Below are 20598 nucleotides of genomic sequence, written 5' to 3' on the forward strand. Positions count from 1 at the left end.
GCGCTCCGCCCCTGCCGCGACCCAGCCCAGGAGCCAGAGACCTGGGCGTGCCCCGCCACCGTGGGCAGGCGCGGCCCTGGGGAGGTGCTCACGCCCCCTCCGCGCCCGAGGCGCCCCTCGGGTGGCACCCAGGACGACCTCTCACCCCGACCTACCGCCCCGACCCTCTTAGGCGCAGAGGCGCACAGGTCCAGACCCGGCTACTCAGGAGGGAGGAAACATTTTACAACCTGTTCTCTCTTGTCTTTGAAGCCTGCTAGCTAAAAGCTTCATCTGCATAGTAAAACTTTGGTCTCCACCACCTCTTATCACAACCCAGACATTCCCTTCTGTGATCTCAGGTCTTCAGATAAACTCAACCAGCTGTCAACCAGAAAATGTTTAAATTCACCCACAGCCTGGAACCCCCTTTCCTCCACCCCCTCGCCCCCACCCACCACTTCTACTTGTCTCTTTTCTGGACCAAACCAATGTATTTCTCAAATGTATTTGATTGCTGTCTCATGCCTTCCTAAAATGTATAAAACCAAACTGCACCCCAACCACCTTGGGCACATGTTCTCAGGACCTCCTGAGGGCTGTGTAATGGGCCATGGTCAGTCGTATTTGGCTCAGAATAAATTTCTTCAAATATTTTACAGAGTTTGACTCTTTTTGTTGACACCTTTTCTTAGACAGCTACTACAAGATGTTCTTCAGAAAATGGACGGCGCAAACTGAGAACAAGTAAGAGGTGGATTCAGAAAGTTAGGAGATCCGGTGGAGGAGAGAAGTGTAGTTGGTGGCCAGGGTGACAGCCATTCACCAGGTTCCATAGACAAACAGTTCATGTTGGAGATGGGGTTCAAGAGATGCTAGACGGAGCCGTCCAGGAAGAAAGAGCAGGAATGAATGGACAAAAAGTATGGGAGTTAGAAAAACTGATGAATTTAGGGGCACATGGTAGGCCTTTTGGAGCACTGGGATAAAATAGTTTCAGGCACTAAGTAAATTTTATATAAAAAGAAGGCAGCCCAGTGCAGTGGCTCATGCCTGTAATCTCAGCAACTCCAGAGGCTGAGTTGGGAGGATCACTTGAGCTCAGGAGTTTGAGGCTGCAGTGAGCTATAATTGCACCACTGCACTCCAGCCTTCTAGCTTGGGTGACAGACCCTGTCTCCAAAAAATAAAAAGGCAATTACTAACTCCAGGAAAAAGGAAAGAAAGAAAACATAATCATTGTAGTCACTGGTTCATCTTTGAATATCATTGCAATGGTCATTATAATGGAAACACTGATGATTTCTTAAACCAAATATTGTGACCTAAATGTTTACAAGAATGTGGTAGGAGGGAAAGGACATTTGTGATTGGATGGAAAGGCAGGCAGGAGAGTGTCACAGTCTGAGGGGTTCTTCTTTCCTGCTGCCCCCCAAAAACCCAGTGCACTGAGAACAGCAGATGTTGCAGCAAAGAGGGAGGTTAATAATTGCAGGGACAGCTAATTGAGAAGAATAGGAGAGGTTTCTCAAATCTGTCTCCCTAAAAAGTTGGAAACTATGGTTTTTCATGGTACTTTTGTGGGCAGAAGCCTGGGGAACTGCAACAACTGATAGACTATGGATGAAATCTCAGGGGTGTCTAAAACTGTCTTTCTGCAGGTGAGTTAGTTCCCAGGAGAGGGTATCTCAGGACCAGGTGGCATCTCTTGGTCTGCCAAAATGCTAAATCTGAAAAATATTTCAAAGACCATTGTTTAGGTTTTACAATAGTAATGTTATCTACAAGAGTAGTTTGGGAAGTTATACATCTTGTGATCCCTGGTTACATGACTCTGGTGCAGTGAACAACTTACATGAAAACACACTAAGTGATGGCAGGTCATTGATTAACTATGCCTATTCTTTAGCAAAGTTCAAGCCCCTACAGTAATTCTAACCTTGTTTTCTGAATGTGGCTTTAATCTGCAGTCAAGGAGTGGGGTCAGTTTCCTTGCCTCAGAGTTTAACTCTCTCTCTCTCTCACTCTCTCTGTGTGTGTATAAATATATATACACAATTATTTACTATTTATTTATTTATTTATTATTTTTTGAGACACAATATTGCTCTGTTGTCCAGGTTGGAGTGCAGTGGTGTGATCTTGGCTCACTGCAGCCTCAACTTCCTGGGCTCAAGCGATCCTCTCACCTCAGCCTCCTGAGTAGCTGGGACTACAGGTGCACACCACCATGCCTGGCTAATTTTTGTAAATTTTTTTTTGAGAAGGGGTTTCACTATGTTCCTGAGGCTGTTCTCCAACTCCTGGGCTCAAGCAATCCTCCTGCCTCGGTCTCCCAAGGTGCTGGGTGGCACCACACCTGGCTTCAAATTTTAACTATAAACTAACTTCCTCACGCAGTTATCTTGGCTGCCACACTAGAATAAGCAAAAACAAAACAATTTAGCCTGTGAGGTCTGATGGAAGATGGAGTCAGTCACGTTAGATTTCTCATATTTGTTTTTCTTTTCCTTTTTTTTTTGATGGAGTTTTGCTGTTGTTGCCCAGGCTGGAGTGCAATGGCGTGATCTCAGCTCACTGCAACCTCTGCCTCCTGGGTTCAAGTGAGTCTCCTGCCTCAGCCTCCCGAGTAGCTGGGATTACAGGCACCCGCCACCATGCCTGGCTAATTTTTTTTTTTTTTAATAGAGACGGAGTTGCACCATGTTGGCTGGCTGGTTTTGAACTCCTGACCTCAAGCGATCTGCCTACCTCAGCCTCACAAAGTGCTAGGATTACAGGCATGAGCCACCGCACCCAGCCAAGATTTCTCACATTTCTTATAATTCTGCAATCTCAGTTTCAAGACCAAATCCCCAATAACCATAAGGCGTAAAATTGACAAATCTTGAAACTGTAGTGTAAGAATATTACATAGCACCATGATTGTAAATATGAAAACAAACATTTAAAAGATTGAAATTGAATAGAGGCTGGGAATGGGACATTTTGATACAAGGAGGTTTTTTTTTAAGTACTAACTCTTTCATATTTCCTTTACAATAATCTGCTTAAACTTTAAGAACATTTGGAAAAGAAGGTGTCACAGATGTTCCCTTCCAGTCAGACACGTCTTCACTTCTTTGGTTTTACTCCTCTTCTCTGGAGAGATCATGGCAGAGCTTGGCACCGTATATATACTCATGGGGCACTGATGGCAGTGGACATTTGAGTGAGGCAGTCTTTGTTTTTTACTTTTGGAGGGTGATTGTGAAGATGAAATGAAATAACCCACATGGCAATGCCCACAATTCACAAGGCACATAAACAGGGTGTCAGGAAATACTAGCTCAGCAGAGATTCTACATTCATCTTTTCCCTGAGAATGATAATGAGGGATGTTTAGTACTGAAATCAGAAAGAATCAAAACACAGGTATATCTACATATTCTTAGATACAGCAGAAATGTGTTAGTTTTTCTCTGTCCTGGAACAGAAGCAGATGCAGAGATGCAAGTGTTAAAAACTGCATGGTAGAATAAATACTCCATACACTTGGAGTGGCCACATTTAGCAAATAAAAATTGTAATAAATTTAAATTTCAGATAACACATTTTAAAATGTTTTAAATTTTAATTATATTTATTCTACTTTTTTATTTTTATTTTTTGAGACAGGGTCTCACTCTGTGGCCCAGGCTGGAGTACAGTGGTGTGATTACGGCTCACTGCAGCCTCTACCTCTTCGGGCTCAGGCGATCCCCACACCTCAGCCTCCTGAGTAGTTGGACTACAGGTGTGCACCATTTCGCTCAGCTAATTTTTGTATTTTTGTAGAGACAGGGTTTCACCATGTTGCCTAGGCTGGTCTTGTACTCCTGGGATCAACAATCCCCCCACCTCAGCCTCCCAAAGTCCTAGGATTCCAGGTGTGAGCCACTGCACTTGGCCAAGTAACAGATTTTTGAGTATCAGTATGCCCCATGTCACACTGGGGGCATATGGATACTAAAAAATTATTCAGTATTTATCTGAAATTCACATTTAATTGGTGTTGTGTCTTTTATCTGGAAACCTTATAGATGGCTGAATTTGCAGCTGTCATGTCACTGTTTGTGGCTTAATGAAGGAATTCATTTGCCATTTACAAAAATTCAGTACCCAGAAGGAGAAAGGGGATGCTGTTTGGAAGAACATGATGTCACTGCCAATGCTGAATTAACTTGGTGGTCTGGAATACACAATCTGTGAGCATCAGTCTCTGTTTTTGTTTTTGTTTTTGTTTTTGTATTTGTTTTTGTTTTTGTTTTTGAGATGGAGTCTTGCTCAGTCATCCAGGCTGGAGTGCAGTGGCACGATATCTGTTCCCTGCAACCTCTGCCTCCTGGGTTCAAGTGATTCTCCTGTCTCAGTCTCCCAAGTAGCTTGGACTACAGGTGCGCACCACCATGCCCAGATAAATTTTGTATGTTTAGTAGAGATGGGGTTTCACCATGTTGGCCAGGCTGAGCCTTCAGAGGGAGTGTGGCTCGGACCGCACCTTGATTTCAGACTTCTGGTCTCTAGAAATGTGAGAATGCACATTTATTGAGACTCATTCAGTGTCTCAATTTATGGAACTTTGTTAAAACAGACCTAGGAAAATAATACTCCCAATCAGAAGGACAGAACAAACAAGTGGAATTGTCAACACAACACAAAATTGGAGGTATGTACCTTTTTTAGCAGTAATTGTATATTAACTTGCTCTTCCAAAGTGGTGGTTTGGAGAATGGATAAACCCAAGTGTCAAGGATGAAAATAATGATCAATTGAACTCCATATGGAATATAAACCAATTTCACCCTCTCAATATAATATGGGTAATTATTTACTCTTCATGTTGATTTAATATTTGCTTTTATAGAATGAAAAAATATAGGTACACTCACAACTAGGGGCCCTAATCAATGATCATTTATCATGAGCATTTGATTTTCAACACATTATGAATTACATGGTGGTATAGTCAATGCAGCTCACAATAGTGGCTTTGAATCTGCATTGCCCCTGGCCATATGACCTTCAACATATATTTTGAGGTTGGGGGAACAGGAGGAATATTTTTTACGAATTTTGTGTTTGATCCAATATGGTTGTTTTTGAAAGGGCTGTGTGACCCTCTGTGGAAATAAAATTGATTTATAGCTGAACTGGACAAGCTCTATCTATCTCTTGCAACTACTAGAGGTCTGGTCTTTGACCCACGGTCAGTGGGTTTTATGAGATGTTGCTTAAAGTCTCATACTGGGCTTGGTAATTGTAGAATAGAGTGGTTCTTTGCTTTGCATGGTGGGATAAGATTTCTTTTTTAAAATTTTTAATTTTAATTTTTAATCTTTGTAGATACATAGTAGGTGTATGTATTTATGGGGTACATGAGTTGTTTTTGTTTTTTATGAAACAGAGTCTGGCTCCGTCACCGAGGCTGGAGTGCAGTAATGTGGTCTTGGCTCACTACAACCACTGACTCCTGGGTTCAAGCAATTCTCCTGCCTCAGCCCCCTGAGTAGCTGGGACTACAGGTGTGCACCACCATGTAAAGCAAATTCTTGTATTTTTAGTAGAAATGGGGTTTCACCATGTTGGGCAGGCTGGTCTCGAACTCCTGGCCTCAAGTGATCCGCTGGCCTTGGCCTCCCAAAGTGCTAGAATTACATGCATGAGCCACCGTGCCCAGCCTTACATGAGATGTTTCGATACAGGCATACAATGTGAAAGAAGCACATCATGGGGAATGGGATATCCATCCCCTGAAGCATTTATCCTTTCAGCTACAAACAATCCAATGACATTCTTTAAGTTCTTTTAAAATGTACAATTAAGAAATCCCTTGGTCGGGCTCAGTGGCTCACGTCTGTAATCCCAGCACTTTGGGAGGCCAAGGCTAGCAGATCACCTGAGGTCAGGAGTTCAAGACCATCCTGGCCTACATGATGAAACCTCGTCTCTACTAAAAATACAAAAAAATTAGTCAGGTGTTGTTGCACGCACTTGTTGTCCCAGCTACTCAGGAGGCTGAGGCAGCAGAATTGCTTGAACCCAGGAGGCAGAGGTTGCAGTGAGCTGAGATCATGCCATGCCACTATAGCCTGGGAAACTTCATCTCAAAAAAAAAAAAAAAAAAGCAAGAAATCCCTTGAGGGTCAATTTCTTTACTGATGGCTTGCAACTGGCCTAACCACTTGTGAAGTCAGTATGGCTTCACTATATTTAGGTGGTTCAATTCATGCATCAATACGAACCCTGGGATCTTGCACAAGGGTCTCTCTGTATCCCAATGCTGGCCTGCGCACACACTTTTTCTCTCTCTTGCTGTGCTGTGTCCTTCAGTGTTAAATAAAAGCTGTACCACTTCACACCCACTAGGATGGCTACGATTCACAAAATCCAGAAAATAGCAGGTGTCAGCCAGGATGTAGAGAAATGGGAATCTTTGTGCATTGTTGGTGAAAATGCTCAATGGTGCAGCCCCTGTGCAAAACAGTGTGGTGGTTTCTCCAATAATTAAACACAGAGTTAGCATAGGATCCAGCAATTCCACTTCTGGGTATATACTCAAAAGAATTGAAAGCAGGGTCTCAAAGAGATACTTGTAAACCTATGTCCGTAACACTGTTTTTCACTGTAGCCAAGAGGTGGAAGCAACCCAAGTGTCTATCAGCAGAGGAATGGATAAACGAAGTGTGGTCCATCCATACAATGAGACATTGTTCAGCCCTAACGAAGGAAATTCTGACACGTGCTGCAACGTAGATCAACCTTGAGGACATTATGCTAAGTAAAATAAGCCAGGCTCAAAAAGACTAATACTCTATGAGTCCATTCATGTGAAGTCTCTAGAGTCATCCAATGCATAGAGACAATGGTGGGCACTGGGCACTGGGGGAAGGGAACATGAGGAGTTAGTGTTTAATGGGGACAGAATCTCACTGAGGATATTAAAAAAGTTCTGGAGATAGGTGGTGGTGATGGTTGCATAACAGTGTGAATCCACTTAATGCCACTGAACCGTGCACTTAAAAATGGTTAAAATGGTGAGTTTTATATTATGTATATTTGACCAAAATAACAGATAGGTAGATACATAGATGATAGATACATCATACATGATAGATAGTTCATAGCTGGGTGATGATGATACACAAATACATAGATAAATGATAGGTGAGACAGATAGATGATAGGTGATAGATGATAGATGACAGATGGCTAGATGATAGGTAGATACATAGATGGTAGATAGATGATAGACAGAAAAATAGACAGATGATAGGTAGATGATAAGTAGATGATAAGTAGATAGATAGATAATAGGTAGATTATACACAGATGATAGATAGATGGGTAGATAGATGCTACATAGGTAGATAGATAGCCTCCAAGACAATGGGAGAATAAATGTCTGTTGTTTAAGCCCTGCAGTCTATGGTGTTCTGTTATAGCAGCTTGAAATGGACTAAGACACCTCATAAGAAGAGATGAGGACACAGACACACACAGAGAGACGACTGTATGAGGACAAAGGGAGAACACAGAGTCTACAAGCCAAGGAGAGAGGCCTCAGGAGGAACCAGCCCTGCCCACACCTTGATCTCAGACTTCCGACCTCCAGGATTGTAAGGAAATAAATTTCTGTTGTTTAAGCCCCTCAGTCTACAGTCCTTTGTTATGGCAGCTCTAGCAAAGGCATATACCTTCTCCATCCCCTCTCCTCTGATAAATACCAATATCTCAAGAGAACTTGGAGGCAGCTGTTGAAGAGAGCTGAGCCACAATGTTGAAAGTTATTGGGTCCCTGATTCAGGACTTGAAAGAGCATCACCAGCCAACCAGAAACACACACTTTGGGCTTAACACCAGGTATTTGTTAGAAAAAAAAATACGGGCTGGGTGCGGTGGCTCACGCCTGTAATCCCAGCACTTTGGGAGGCTGAGGCGGGCGGATCATGAGGTCAGGAGATTGAGACCATCCTGGCTAACATGGTGAAACCTCGTCTCTACTAAAAATACAAAAAAATTAGCTGGGCATGGTGGCGGGCGCCTGTAGTCCCAGCTACTCGGGAGGCTGAGGCAGGAGAATGGCGTGAACCTGGGAGGCGGAGCTTGCAGTGAGCTGAGATCACCCCACTGCACTCCAGCCTGGGCGACAGAGTGAGACTCTGTCTCAAAAAAAAAAACCAAAAAAAAAAAAAAAAACACTGAGATTTGGTGTTCATTCATCAGCTTAAGCAGCTTATCATGGCCCTAACTAACAAAGCATGTTTTACATAACAGGTACTTTGCCCACAGTCAAGTGTATCAAGATCAAATGATGATGTGCTACACCTTTGCTGTAGATTTCTTATCAATACACTCTTTCCTTGTGTCCTCTGAGAGTCTACTTCACTGCAGGGCTGCTGCTACCAGCTGCTGTGGTCATAGCCTTGGTGTTCTTGTCTAATTAATGAGGGTTCCCATTAAACTAGACTCCAGCTGTTTTGACTTCCAGAATTGCTTTAGGAGAGTCTCTGTGGTCATTAATAAGGTGAGACCTTTTGGTTCCCAATACAAAGAGAGAAGATAATTTATTTTCTACAGCATTTTTTCCCATAAAGCTCTATATTCCGTTACATTTTAAAGGGCATTTCAACAAATGATGTATGAAATGGAGAACAAAATCTGTATGGTTCTGCAGTAAAGGGCATGCAAAACTAGAGAACGGCTCTGAAATGATGTGGAAAAACAGCAATCTACTTTTCTTTAAAAAAATTAAAGGCTTATGCTTCACATAAATTCATGTCGATTTTCCAGGCATTATTTGGTTATAACGTCTGAGGCATTGCATGGATTTACTGGTACCTAAAGTGTGGATTTATTCTTAAGAAGCATGCAGCTCTACAATCTTGTACAGTGAAACGTTGGGCACTCACAAAGTTATGCAAGACAGGTTATGATGTGGGCTTAAGAAAGGTGTTGAGAGCTAGGAGTAGAGATATAGAAGAAAAAAAGTGTAATATTTTCAAGAAAGAGTAATTAGTTTGTAAGTGGAGGCTACTTTCATTGTTTTTTTTTTTTTAATTTTGATGTTTTAGTGTTATGTTTTTTGAGACAGAGTCCAGCTCTGTTGCCCAGGATGGAGTGCAGTGGTGTGAGCATAGCTCACTGCTGTCTTGAACTTCCAGGCTCAAGTGATCCTCCCACCTCAGTTTCCTGAATAGCTAGGACCACAGGCATGCACCATCATGCCTGGCTAATTTTTAAATATTTTGTAGAAACTGGGTCTCCCTTTGTTATCCAGGCTGGTCTCCAACTCCTGGGCTCAAGTGATCCTCCTCCCTTGGCTTCCCAAAGTGTTGAGATTACGGGCATGAGCCACTGTGCCAGGCCAACATTGTTTTTAATATATGACTTGTAAGGCAAGTTGGGGGGCATTAATTCCTTATTAAGATGTACTGAGTTGAATAAAAGCCCCTCCAACCATCAACCCCCCAAAATATATGTCCAAGTACTAAGCTCCAGAATTTGTGAATGCAAACTAATTTGGATAAAGAGTATTTGCATGTAATTAAGGAAAGATTCTTGAGATTAGATCACTATAAATTACCCAGGTGGCCTTTAAATCCAATGACCAGTGTCCTTCTAAGAGACAGAAGAGGAGACACAGACACAGAGGAAAAGGTCACGTGGAGATGGAGGCAGAGAATGTAGTGATGTGGCCACAAGCCCAGGGACACCTGGAGCCACCAGGAGCTGGAAGAGGCAGGAAGGATCCTCTCCTAGAACCTCCAGGGGGAGCGCACCCCTGCCCACACCTTGATCTCAGATTCCTGGTCTCCAATACTGGAAAAGAGTAAACATCTGTTACTTTACACCATCCAAGTTTTTGTTATTTGCTACGGCATCCATAGGAATTAAAAACCTATAGGTATGAATTTTATGTTGCTGTCAAAAGGCTTCTTCTAGGATAAGTAGATATTTCACCTAGATAGTTGTAGCTTTTTCTCCTCTTCATTGGGATCGGAACTCAGTTGGTGTCCTCCATCCTCCTATCTCAATATTGATTTTACTTACTCTTTAATCCTAACAATGAGCCTTTTTATATTGCTTAATTAAATATCAATGTCTTTCTGGTCAACATGAGACCAAAAACCTTTTTACCTTGGGCCTGAGAAAGAGCAGTATTTCTCCTCCTCCTCTTCCTCTTCTTCCTCCTCCTTCCTTCTTCTCCCTCTTTTTAGAGATGGGGTCTCTCTCTGTTGCCCAGGCTAGAGTGCAGTGGCATAATCCTAGCTCACTGCAGCCTCAAACTCCTGGGCTCAAGTGATCTTCCAGCCTCAGCCTGCTGAGTAACTGGGACCACACATGTGCACCACTATGCCCTATTTTTTTGTTTTTTTAACTTATTTATAGAAATGAGGTCTCACTATGTTGCCCAGGCTGGTCTCATACTTCTGGCCTCAAGTGTTCCTCCTCTTTGGCCTCCCAAAGCACTGGGATTACAGGTGTGAGCCACCATGCTTTGGCATGGTGGGGTATGCAGTAGGAGAGCAGGGGTGGTGGTAGTGTCTCCATATGTACTCTCACTAAAACTGGTGTGGGCAGATACTGGATGCCTACTTATTTAGGGGCATCTAAATTCCTGTGCTAAATTAGAAAATAGAGGCAGCTCTTGAAAGGAGTGATGGCATGAAGGAGAGATGCTTGGACCAACCACCACACAACCCTTATAAATAATTGATAACCTTGGTTTTGATGCCACGTCCTCTTCAACAGTTGTTGGTTGAAATGACACATGATTCCAGGTGAGCTTTTCCAGATAAATTGCCCTGGAACTTCAGACTTTGTCGGGTGAATCGATGTGGAATTTCAGAATGGGCTGGAATGTCTAAGATGGGCATGTCCAATATTCAGCTCAGTGTGGGGAAACTGGTGGTGGCCAGGGCTGGTTGCAAGCTGAGTTGTAGGGGTGACAGTTCACCTGAGAAACAAAAAAACATGCAAGTCCTGGTTCATGAGGAGTGATTTCACAAATAGTGACCATGGAAGTCAATGTTGAAAAAACAAATAGATTCAGAGCATAAGGGTGCAGGTTTGTTACATGGATATGTTGCCTAGTGGTGGGGATTGGCCTTCTGTCCCCTAAACAGTGAACATAATACCAGATAGGTAATTTTTCAACCCTCATCCTCTCCCACCTTCCCCCTTTTAAAGGTGTCCAGTGCCTGTTATTCCATTCTATAGGTCCATGTGTACCCATTTTTAGCTCCCACTTATAAGTGAAAACATGTGGTATTTGATTTTCTGTTTCTGAGTTATCTCACTTAGGATATTGACCTGCAGCTCCATTTATGTTGCTGCAAAAGATACAGTTTCATTCTTTTTTATAGATGCATAGTATTCCTTGGTGTGTGTATACCACATTTTCTTCATCCAATGAACATTCAGGTTCATTCCACGATTTTGCTATTGTGAATTGAGGTGCAATAAAAATGTAAGCATAGGCATCTTTTTTGATAATTTCTTTTCCTTTGCATAGATAATCATTAGTGGAGTTGCTGGGTCAAAGGGCAGATCTATTTTTAGTTCTTTGGGAAATCTACATACTGTTTCCTATAGAGGTTGTACAATTTACTTCTCACCAACAGTGTATAAGCATTCCCTTGTCTCTGTACTCTTGCCAACATGCGTCTGTTGTTTTTGGAAGTCAGTGTTTTTCTACAAGACCTTCATATTGGCTATAAATAAAAGTGATACCTTGGAAGAGAGTCTATTTCTGGACAGCCAGAGAGGGAAATGGGAATGATCAGGAAACATACCGGGATTATAAGAGAGCTTCATTATTTTGGTCTGGCTTGAGTCCGTAAATGGAGTAGCCTCTTAGCGGAACAAAATTTCCTCCAATTATAATGGTAGTTGCCAGAGGCAACAACAGTGAAAGAGCCATTTAAAAAGTCAAAACCAGAGGAATCATTTGACTAGAACCTTCAATGGCTTTGAGTCACTATGCCAGACAGCTCAATTATCTTATCTCTGCCGTGAAAAGCTGTCTTTTTCTTGTACTTACATCTCTTGAGCAGAATCTCACATAAAACATGCCCTAATTACATGGTCCCTATTAGATACTACACCAGGGAGTGCTTGGCTTTGATGGTGCCCAGATTGTCTGAAGTCTGCAGAAATCCACTGCAGGCAGAGGCATTTGGGTGGACCATGTTCCCAAGATTATCACTTTGTAAAATATGGCTCTTGGGAGGGCAAATTTGCATGTAGGGTATTCTGAGGAACAAGTGTCGTACTGCCATCCTAAGGGTCCCTTATGGCAATGCCTGAGTTATGTGTAATTACAACAGCCATGGGTCTAGAGCTTAAGCCTCCTGCTTCCATGGAACCAATGCATTCAAAGGTTGAAGGCACCTTTGAGATTTTCTAGGCTGGCTACCAAGTCCTATGTAGGAGAAAGATGAAGTCTAACAAAGCCAGGTGATTTTCAGCCACACAATGTGTACCTTGATCTAGGGTCAGGTTATTCAGCCTCCTACTACACCAAATTTTAGAATACAATTTTTATTAGGTGGGATTTAATTAATGTCACTGATGTATAAAAGTAAAAAGAACATGTTACAGATGTAAGATATATAGATTATATATTTATCTGTATACATAAGAGAAATAGATGGACGGATGGATAGATAGACAGATGGATAACTAGAAGATAGAAAATTACACACATACATTCATAAATACATATATACATAGATGGATAGATAGATGATTGACAGAGAGAACAATATAGGTAAATGTAGATAGACGATAGATGATAGAAAGATAGACAATAGGTAGATAGATGTTAGATGGAATAGATGACAGATTAATGATAGGTAGATAGAATAGATAGATAATGAATAGATGATAGAAAGATAGACAGATAGACAATAATAGGTAGGTAGATAGATGATAGATGGAATAGATAGATAGATGGTGGATAGATATATGGAATAGACGATAGATTATAGATGGAATGAACGGATAGATAGAATATAGTAATAGAATGCATCTACCTGAAAATACAAGAGAGAAGAAAAAGAGATTGGGAGTTTTTCCACTCTATAACTTTGGGGCAAAGAAAATAGCATTAATGAAAAAGCAAAGAACGGGAAAATAAAAAGTTTTTATCCAGAACCACCCTTCCAGCAAAAGAAAATGTAGGGCAAGCAAAATATTAAGCATTTCATACTCACTTGTGTAGGCCATGGGAACTATTATGAAAAGGTGGATGTTGCATGTTTCAGTATATTTTTTGTTTTGTTTTGTTTTTGAGATGGACTCTCGCTGTGTTGCCCAGGCTGGAGTGCAATGGCGAGGTCTCAGCTCACTGCAACCTCCGCCTCCTGGGTTCAAGCAATTCTCCTGTCTCAGCCTCCCGAGTAGCTGAGATTACAGGTGCATGCCGCCATGCCTGGCTAATTTTTTGTACTTCAGTAAAGATGGGGTTTCACTGTTTTGCCCAGGCTAGTCTTGAACCCCTGAGCTCAGGCAATCCACCTGCGTTGGCCTCCCAAAGTGCTGAGATTACAGGTGTGAGCCACCACGCCCGACCTCAGTACACTTTTAATATACACAGAGCTTTGCCACATTTTGGAGGGTTACCTACTATTGCAATTTCTGGATTTTTATTTCATTTTTTATGTTTGTGTCTCTCCATTTTAGTTTAATGTAATGCAATTCAATAGATTTTCTCATTAAAATAAAATCTCAGCCTCTCTCCATTGCATAGGATGAAGCAGGCATGATGTAGGGCAAGCTCACTGGCTGGATTCAGACCCTTGAAGGAGGCCGGGCGCGGTGGCTCATGCCTGTAATCCCAGCACTTTGGGAGGCTGAGGTGGGCAGATCACTTGAGGTCAGGCATTTGAGACCAGCCTGGCCAACATGGTGAAACTCTGTCTCTACCAAAAAACCCCCAAAAATGAAAATACAAAAATTAACTGAGTGTGGTGGTGCGTGCCTGTAGTCCCAGCTACTTGGGAGGTTGAGGTGGGAGAATCCCTTGAACCTGGGAGGTGGAGGTTACAGTGAGCCGGGATCATGCCACTGCACTCCAGACTGTGTGACAGAGACCCTGTCTCAAAAAAAAAACAACACAAAACCCAAAACAGACCCTTGAGAAGTGAGCATTTTGCAGTATTCCATTTGGGAGCTGGCTATTCTGCTTCCTCCTGACATCCCAAAGGACACAGGATGGCCTGAGCTCCCAGGTACCCTGGGTTTCCCAGTAAGAATTCCAGGAGTGTTGAGAGAAATGCAAATTGTCTCTGCAGAGCAGCAGACCCCAGAGCTTAAAGGCTTCTCTCCGTTCACAGATTGCCGCATGGAGATGAGAGGAAATAGAGGGTGAACAGATCTCCTGCTACTGCACATGCTACTTTTGATTTCCCAGCTGGTGTTTGAAGGCTGTGCAAGGTGTTGGTTTGCAGGATGATGGAGACCCAGATCATTGTGAATCCATGACCGTGTGGCCGTTTGCATCGACTCAGCCTTACTGCAGATACTAACCTTCATTCCCCTCTCCAGCTATGCACTGGTTTTCTGCATACCACTTGGAATTTATGTTGGCTCTGAGTCATCTGACTCTCACATGAGAAAGAACCAAATAATGACCTGTTATTTTAAAAGAAAGTATCTGCATATGGCTTCTTGTCTGCCGAATGTTGCACATTAGGCCTTTTTTATTGAGTTTCAAATAAACCCCTGAATTAATTCTGCAGGCAAAGGCATTGATGTTAGCACCATTTGATCGCTTGAATGCACGTCATAACAGCATTTTAACGTGCTTACAGCAAGGGGGATGAGACCATATCGAGGATGCACTTTGTCGTTATTAAGGTTAAAAACACCAAGATAGCTGGGTGCGGTGGCTCAGGCCTGTAATCCCAGCACTTTGGGAGGCCGAGGTTGAAGGAAGAGAAAGACCCTCTCATATTATTTTATATTGTTTTATACTCAGTACCTGTTTTAAGCAAAAACAGCAAGGAAGTAAAACCAAAGACAGGCAGCTCGGTGCCAGGCCTGAAACCAGGCCTGGGCCTGCCTGGCCTACACCCAGTAGTTAAAAATCAACTCATGACTTAGAAACCGGTGTTATTCATAGATTCCAGACATTGTATAGAAGAACACTGTGAAACTCCCTGCCCTGTTCTGTTTCTCTCTGACCACCGGTGCATACAGCCCCTGTCACGTACCCCCTGCTTGCTCAAATCAATCACGACCCTTTCATGTGAAATCTTTAATGTTGTGAACCCTTAAAAGGGACAGAAATTGTGCACTCGGGGAGCTCGGATTTTAAGGCAGTAGCTTGCCGATGCTCCCAGCTGAATAAAGCCCTTCCTTCTACAACTCGGGGTCTGAGAGGTTTTGTCTGCGGCTCATCCTGCTACAAGGTGGGTGGATCACTTGAGTCCAGGAGTTTGAGACTAGCCTGGCCAACATGGCGAAACCCTGTCTCTACAAAAAATACAAAAATTAGCCAGGTGTTGTGTTGTGTACCTGTAGTCCCATACTCAAGAGGCTAAGGTGGGTGGATCTCTGGAGCCTGGGAAGTCAAGGCTGCAGTGAGTGGAGATCATGCCACTGCACTCCAGCCTGGGTGACTGAGCGAGACTCTGTCTCAAAAAAAAAAATAAAAAAAAAAAAAGAAGAAGAAAAGACATGTACAATAGATTATTGTAAACTACAGTCACTTGCTGATCTATTGAACACTATGTCTTTTTTCTCTTATCGAAGTGTATATTTGCAAAGTGGGAGGATTTCTTGAGCTCAGGAGCTCGAGACCTGCCTGGGCAACCTAGTGAGACCCTGTCTCTACAAAAAAAAACACAAAAGCCAGCCTGGCATGGTGGCATGCACCTGTAGTCCTAGCTACTGGGGAGGCTGAGGTAGGAGGATTGCTTGAGCCCAGGAGTTCAAGGTTACCGTGAGCTATGATCGCACCACTGTACTTCAGTCTGGCAACAGAGCAGAATCCTGTCTCCAAAAAAACAAAACAAAAAACCAAAAAAACCTAAGATATTTGCATCCATTAATCAAACTATTTTTATCTCCCTTCTCTGCTCCCTTCCCAGCCTCTGGTAGCCACCAATCTACTCTCTATCTCCATGAGATCCAGGTTTTAAGCTCCCACATGTGAGTGAGAACATGCAGTATTTTTCTTCTGTGCCTGGCTTATTTCACTTAACATAATGACCTCCAGTTCCATCCATCAGGCCTCCTTTTTTCACGGAGGATTTATTTTAGGAAACTTGCAATTGTGAGTTCTTTCTCTATCTCTTTGAGATGCAAATCTTCTCCCAAATTTTCTTCTAGCCTCTTCCTAGTTTTGCAACCCAGGAATGCCTTTCTCAAGACTTCAGAGCCATCCCTTTAAAATGCAATTATTGAAGGAGATGATACATCTGTGTCTCAGTTTTTGTAGAAGGGCAGATTCCTAGTTTTGAAAAATTCCAATGAGCCAACGCAGATAGCTTTACAGCATTTCCTAACCTCTTCCTGATGTCTCCAGTTCCTTCTCAGCATCTCACCCCGGCACTTAAAAACTCTCCAGCCTTTTGTTTCAACAAAGTTAAGCTCCTTCTCTCTTCCGTATTGCAGTAGTCCTGACTGAGTCCTTCCTTGAAGGTTTAACTTGTCTGGTGCAATTTTTTCTTTGACAATGTCCAGATCAAATGATCCCATAAAAACATCGAGTGTGATTTTAGCCTGAGAAGGGGGAGGGTGAGAAGATAGATTGGGAGGCAGCTGTGTAGGCAGGGGACTTGGCCACTCCCTAAACCTCTCCCAGTCTCACCTGTAAATGGAGTGCATAGGCAGCAGTGCTTCTCCCCCAAGGCTGGGGCGATGGAATCAGTTAGACTACTGAGGGCATCTGGAAGGGCATCTGTGTCAGGGTTAGTCCTCAGGGTATGGTGGCCAATGGGTTTCTTTTGGTTGACTGTTGACAATGCGTTTGTTGAATGGCAGCCTGCACTAGGTGACGCTGAAGCCACAGAAGACACTGCAGTGGGAAAACCAGCATGAGCCGCTGCCCCCAAGGAACCTCGAAGCCCAGGCAGAGGACCAGCCATCCCAGCCTGCAGGTAAAGTGTGTCACCTGTCAGGTGGGCTTGGGGTGAGTGGGTGGGGGAAGTGTGTGTGCAAAGGGGGTGTGAGTGTGTATGCGTGTGAGCATGAGTGATGGCTAGTGTGACTGCATGTCAGGGAGTGTGAACAAGCGTGCGAGGGTGTGTGTGCAAGTGCGTATGCATATGAGAATATGTGTCTGTGGATGAGTGCATTTGAAAGTCTGTGTGTGTGTGTGTGTGGTCATGAGGGTAAGTTAGTGACTGCGCAGGATGTGTGAGTGTGCATGGAACACTCAGTGTGTGTGGCAAGTGTGTAGGCGTGTGAGGACAGGCAGAAGTGTGTCAGTGTGATGGGAGTGTGAATGAGTGTGCAAAAAGGTGAGTGAATGTGCATGGAAGTGTGTGTCAACTATGAAGGCATGTAGTGTGTCAGTGTGTGCAGTGCAAGCATGTGTGGGAATGAGTGCTTGTGGGTGTGTCCATATCCAACGGGTATGTGTGAAAGCATGTAAAAGTGTGTGTAGTGTGATGGTGTGTGGATGTATCAGTGTGTATAAATGAGAGCATGTAAATGTGTATGTATGAGTGTTGAGTGAGTGTGCATATGTGAGGCTGTGTGTGTGAGTGTAACCATGAGGGTGTGAACGTGCTTAAGTGTGCATGTGACAGTGCAAGTGTAGGGGTGTGATGCATGTGTGGGTTTGCCAGTGTATGAGTGTACATGGTGTGGATCTGAATGTGCACAGTGTAAAGGGCATGAGTGCAAGTGTGTGTGAGTGTATGTGAATGAGTGGTAGTGTGCATGCATGTGTGAGTGCACGCTCAGAAGCATGGATGGGTGCAAGCCTCCCCTACTAACTCCTCCTCCTTCCTGAGATCAAAAAAGTATGTGTTTTCTGTGTTTCAAAAATGTTTTAAAATTATGTACTGTATTTAATAGCTCTTATGACTACAGTGTTTTTCTCTCTGCTTAAAGCGCAGCAGGGGCTGGGCGCAGTGGCTCACACCTGTAATCCCAGCACTTTGGGAGGCCAAGGCAAGTGGATCAGTTGAGATCAGGAGTTCAAGACCAGCCTGGACAACATGGTGAAACCCCATGTCTACTAAAAATACAAAAATTAGCCGGGCATGGTAGCGGGTGCCTGTGATCCCAGCTACTGGGGAGGCTGAGGTGGGAGAATCACTTGAACTCGGGAGGCCGAGGTTGCAGTGAACCGAGATTGCACCACTGCACTCCAGCCTGGGCGACAGAGCGAGACTCTATGCAAAAAACCCCAAAAAATCCAATGTAGCTAAAAGCAGTTTGATGGTAACAGTGACACTGAAATGAGAATTGTGTCAGAAAAACCACAAACAATAATGAAATGGCTCCTATATAACCCATCCCCAAAAACCCACGTAAAGAAGAAAACAGGGCTGGGTGTAGTGGTTCATGCCTATAATTCCAGCACTTTGGGAGGCCCAGAAGGGAGGATTGCTTGAGCCTGGGAAATCGAGGCCACAGTGAGCTGTATTTGCACCACTGTACTTCAGCCTGAGAGTCAGAGTGAAACCTTGTCTCAAAAACAGAAAGACGAAAAGGGTACCTGAGGTATTAACTCTGATCATCAGTGAGTGGAAAGATTCTGGTATTCTGGTGCTTTCCATTTTCTTTTAGCTTATCTTCATTTTTGAGTTTTCTGGAAGAGCATTTATTGCTTTTTTTCTTTTTGAGACGGAGTCTCCCTCTGTCGCCCAGGCTGGAGTGCAGTGGTATGATCTTGGCTCACTGCAACCTCCACTTCCTGGGTTCAAGCGATTTTCCTGCCTCAGCCTCCTGAGTAGCTGGGACTACAGGTACATGCCACCACGCCCGGCTAATTTTTTGTATTTTTTTTAGTAGAGACAGGGTTTCACCTTGTTAGCCAGGAGGATGGTCTTGATCTCCTGACCTTGTGATCCACCTGCCTTGGCCTCCCAAAGTGCTGCGATTACAGGCGTGAGCCACCGCGCCCGGTCGCATTTATTGCTTTAAGAAAAAAAAATTTCACTTGATGGGAAGAAGCTAAAATGAGGCTGACTAGGAAAATATCATTACTAAAAACATTCTCCTTCATTCATGGACTTTTTTTTTGAGACAGTCTCGTTCTGTCGCATATGCTGGAGTGCAGTGGTACAATCTCAGCTCACTGCAACCTTCGCCTCCCAGGTTCAAATGAATTCTTGTGTCTCAGCCTCCTGAATAACTGGAATTAGAGGCATGTACCACCATGCCCGGCTAATTTTTGTATTAGGGTTTTGTCATGTTGGCCAGGCTGGTCTTGAACCCCTGACCTCAAGTGATACATCTGCCTCAGCCTCCCAGAGTGCTGGGATTACAAGTGTAAGCCACTGCGCCTGGCCCTTGTTTTGGCTAACTCTGAGGGAAACTCTTTCTGCCATGGGAGATTGTACCTTACCATTGTTTATTTCCAGGGTCTCCTGAGAACACAGACCAGAATTACTGAGGTAATCTTGGCACATTTTCTTAACCATTTTATGCGACTTTCAAATTCCTTATATGTAGCTGGGAAAAAAGGCTTTGCTAGATGATCTTTTTCAACCTTTGTGAAGATAAAGATTAAGAAAAAAGTTTAAACCTGAGGCAAGGAAAACACAGAAGAAAACCTAAACAAAGTTTCGGTTCTCAGCCCCTGAGCAGCCACTCAGTGGTGGGCGTTTCCTTCACTCCCCAGTGAGCACCTACTGTGTGTTCCGTATGGCGCAGGGCAGGGAGGAGCAGGCCAAGAAACAAACAAGCCTTGGGGTCGGGGCCACAGAGGGCACGGTGAGCTCTCAGGACACGGCGGGAAGGGAAGGCAGAAAGGTCCTGGGCACAGGCTGGGCTGTCAGCTCCAGAGGGGCGCACTGACCCTGCATCCATGGTAAGTGTGGGGCACAGGCAGTCTGGGCTGCAGCCTCAGAGTGGAGCAGAGCCCGGGGTGTAAGAGGCCGGCTGGGGCAAGTGGGCACCAGGAGAGCCCAGGCTGGCCATTATTTGTGGCTGCATTTCCATTTCCAAAAATGTATGATTTTTTCAGTTAATGGAGAAAAAGCACTGACAAAATTCAACACGCTTTCATGATTAAAAACATTCAGCAAACTAAGAATAGAGAAAACTACCTCAACATAATAAAAGTCATATATGAAAAAGCCACATCACACTCAATGGTGAAAACTGAAAGCTTTTCCTCTAAAATTAGGAACAAGACAAGGATGTCTGCATTCATTACTTCTATGCAACACAGTGCTAGAAGTTCTAACCGGCACACTTAGGCAAGAAAAGGAAATAAAAGGCATCAAAATTGAAAAGAAAGAAGTAAAATTATCTCTATTTGCAGATAGGATCTTATAAGTAGAAATGCCTAAAGGGCGTGTGTGCACACACACACGTTAGAACTAATAAATGAGGCCAGGCATGGTGGCTTGTGCCTATAATCCCAGCACTTTGGGAGTCAGACGTGTGCAGATCACTTGAGGTCAGGAG

At 43.6% G+C, this 20598-nt stretch overlaps 1 pseudogene across 2 annotated transcripts in view; it reads right to left on the reverse strand.

The window, feature by feature from the left end:
- FAM239A (family with sequence similarity 239 member A) overlaps positions 7022 to 20598 on the reverse strand; it is a 31360-nt pseudogene continuing 17783 nt past the window's right edge. The window contains exons 4-7 of one of the 2 annotated variants that reach the window (NR_146580.1): positions 19532 to 19675; positions 16820 to 17026; positions 10722 to 10957; positions 7022 to 9819 (exon numbers count right to left, since the gene is read on the reverse strand). The product of NR_146580.1 is annotated as a family with sequence similarity 239 member A, transcript variant 1 (transcript). The remainder of the gene's footprint in view (positions 9820 to 10721; positions 10958 to 16819; positions 17027 to 19531; positions 19676 to 20598) is intronic. The other variant, NR_146581.1, reaches the window with a different exon arrangement.

This window comes from Homo sapiens, chromosome X, assembly GCF_000001405.40.
Source record: "Homo sapiens chromosome X, GRCh38.p14 Primary Assembly".
Lineage (NCBI taxonomy): Eukaryota > Metazoa > Chordata > Mammalia > Primates > Hominidae > Homo > Homo sapiens.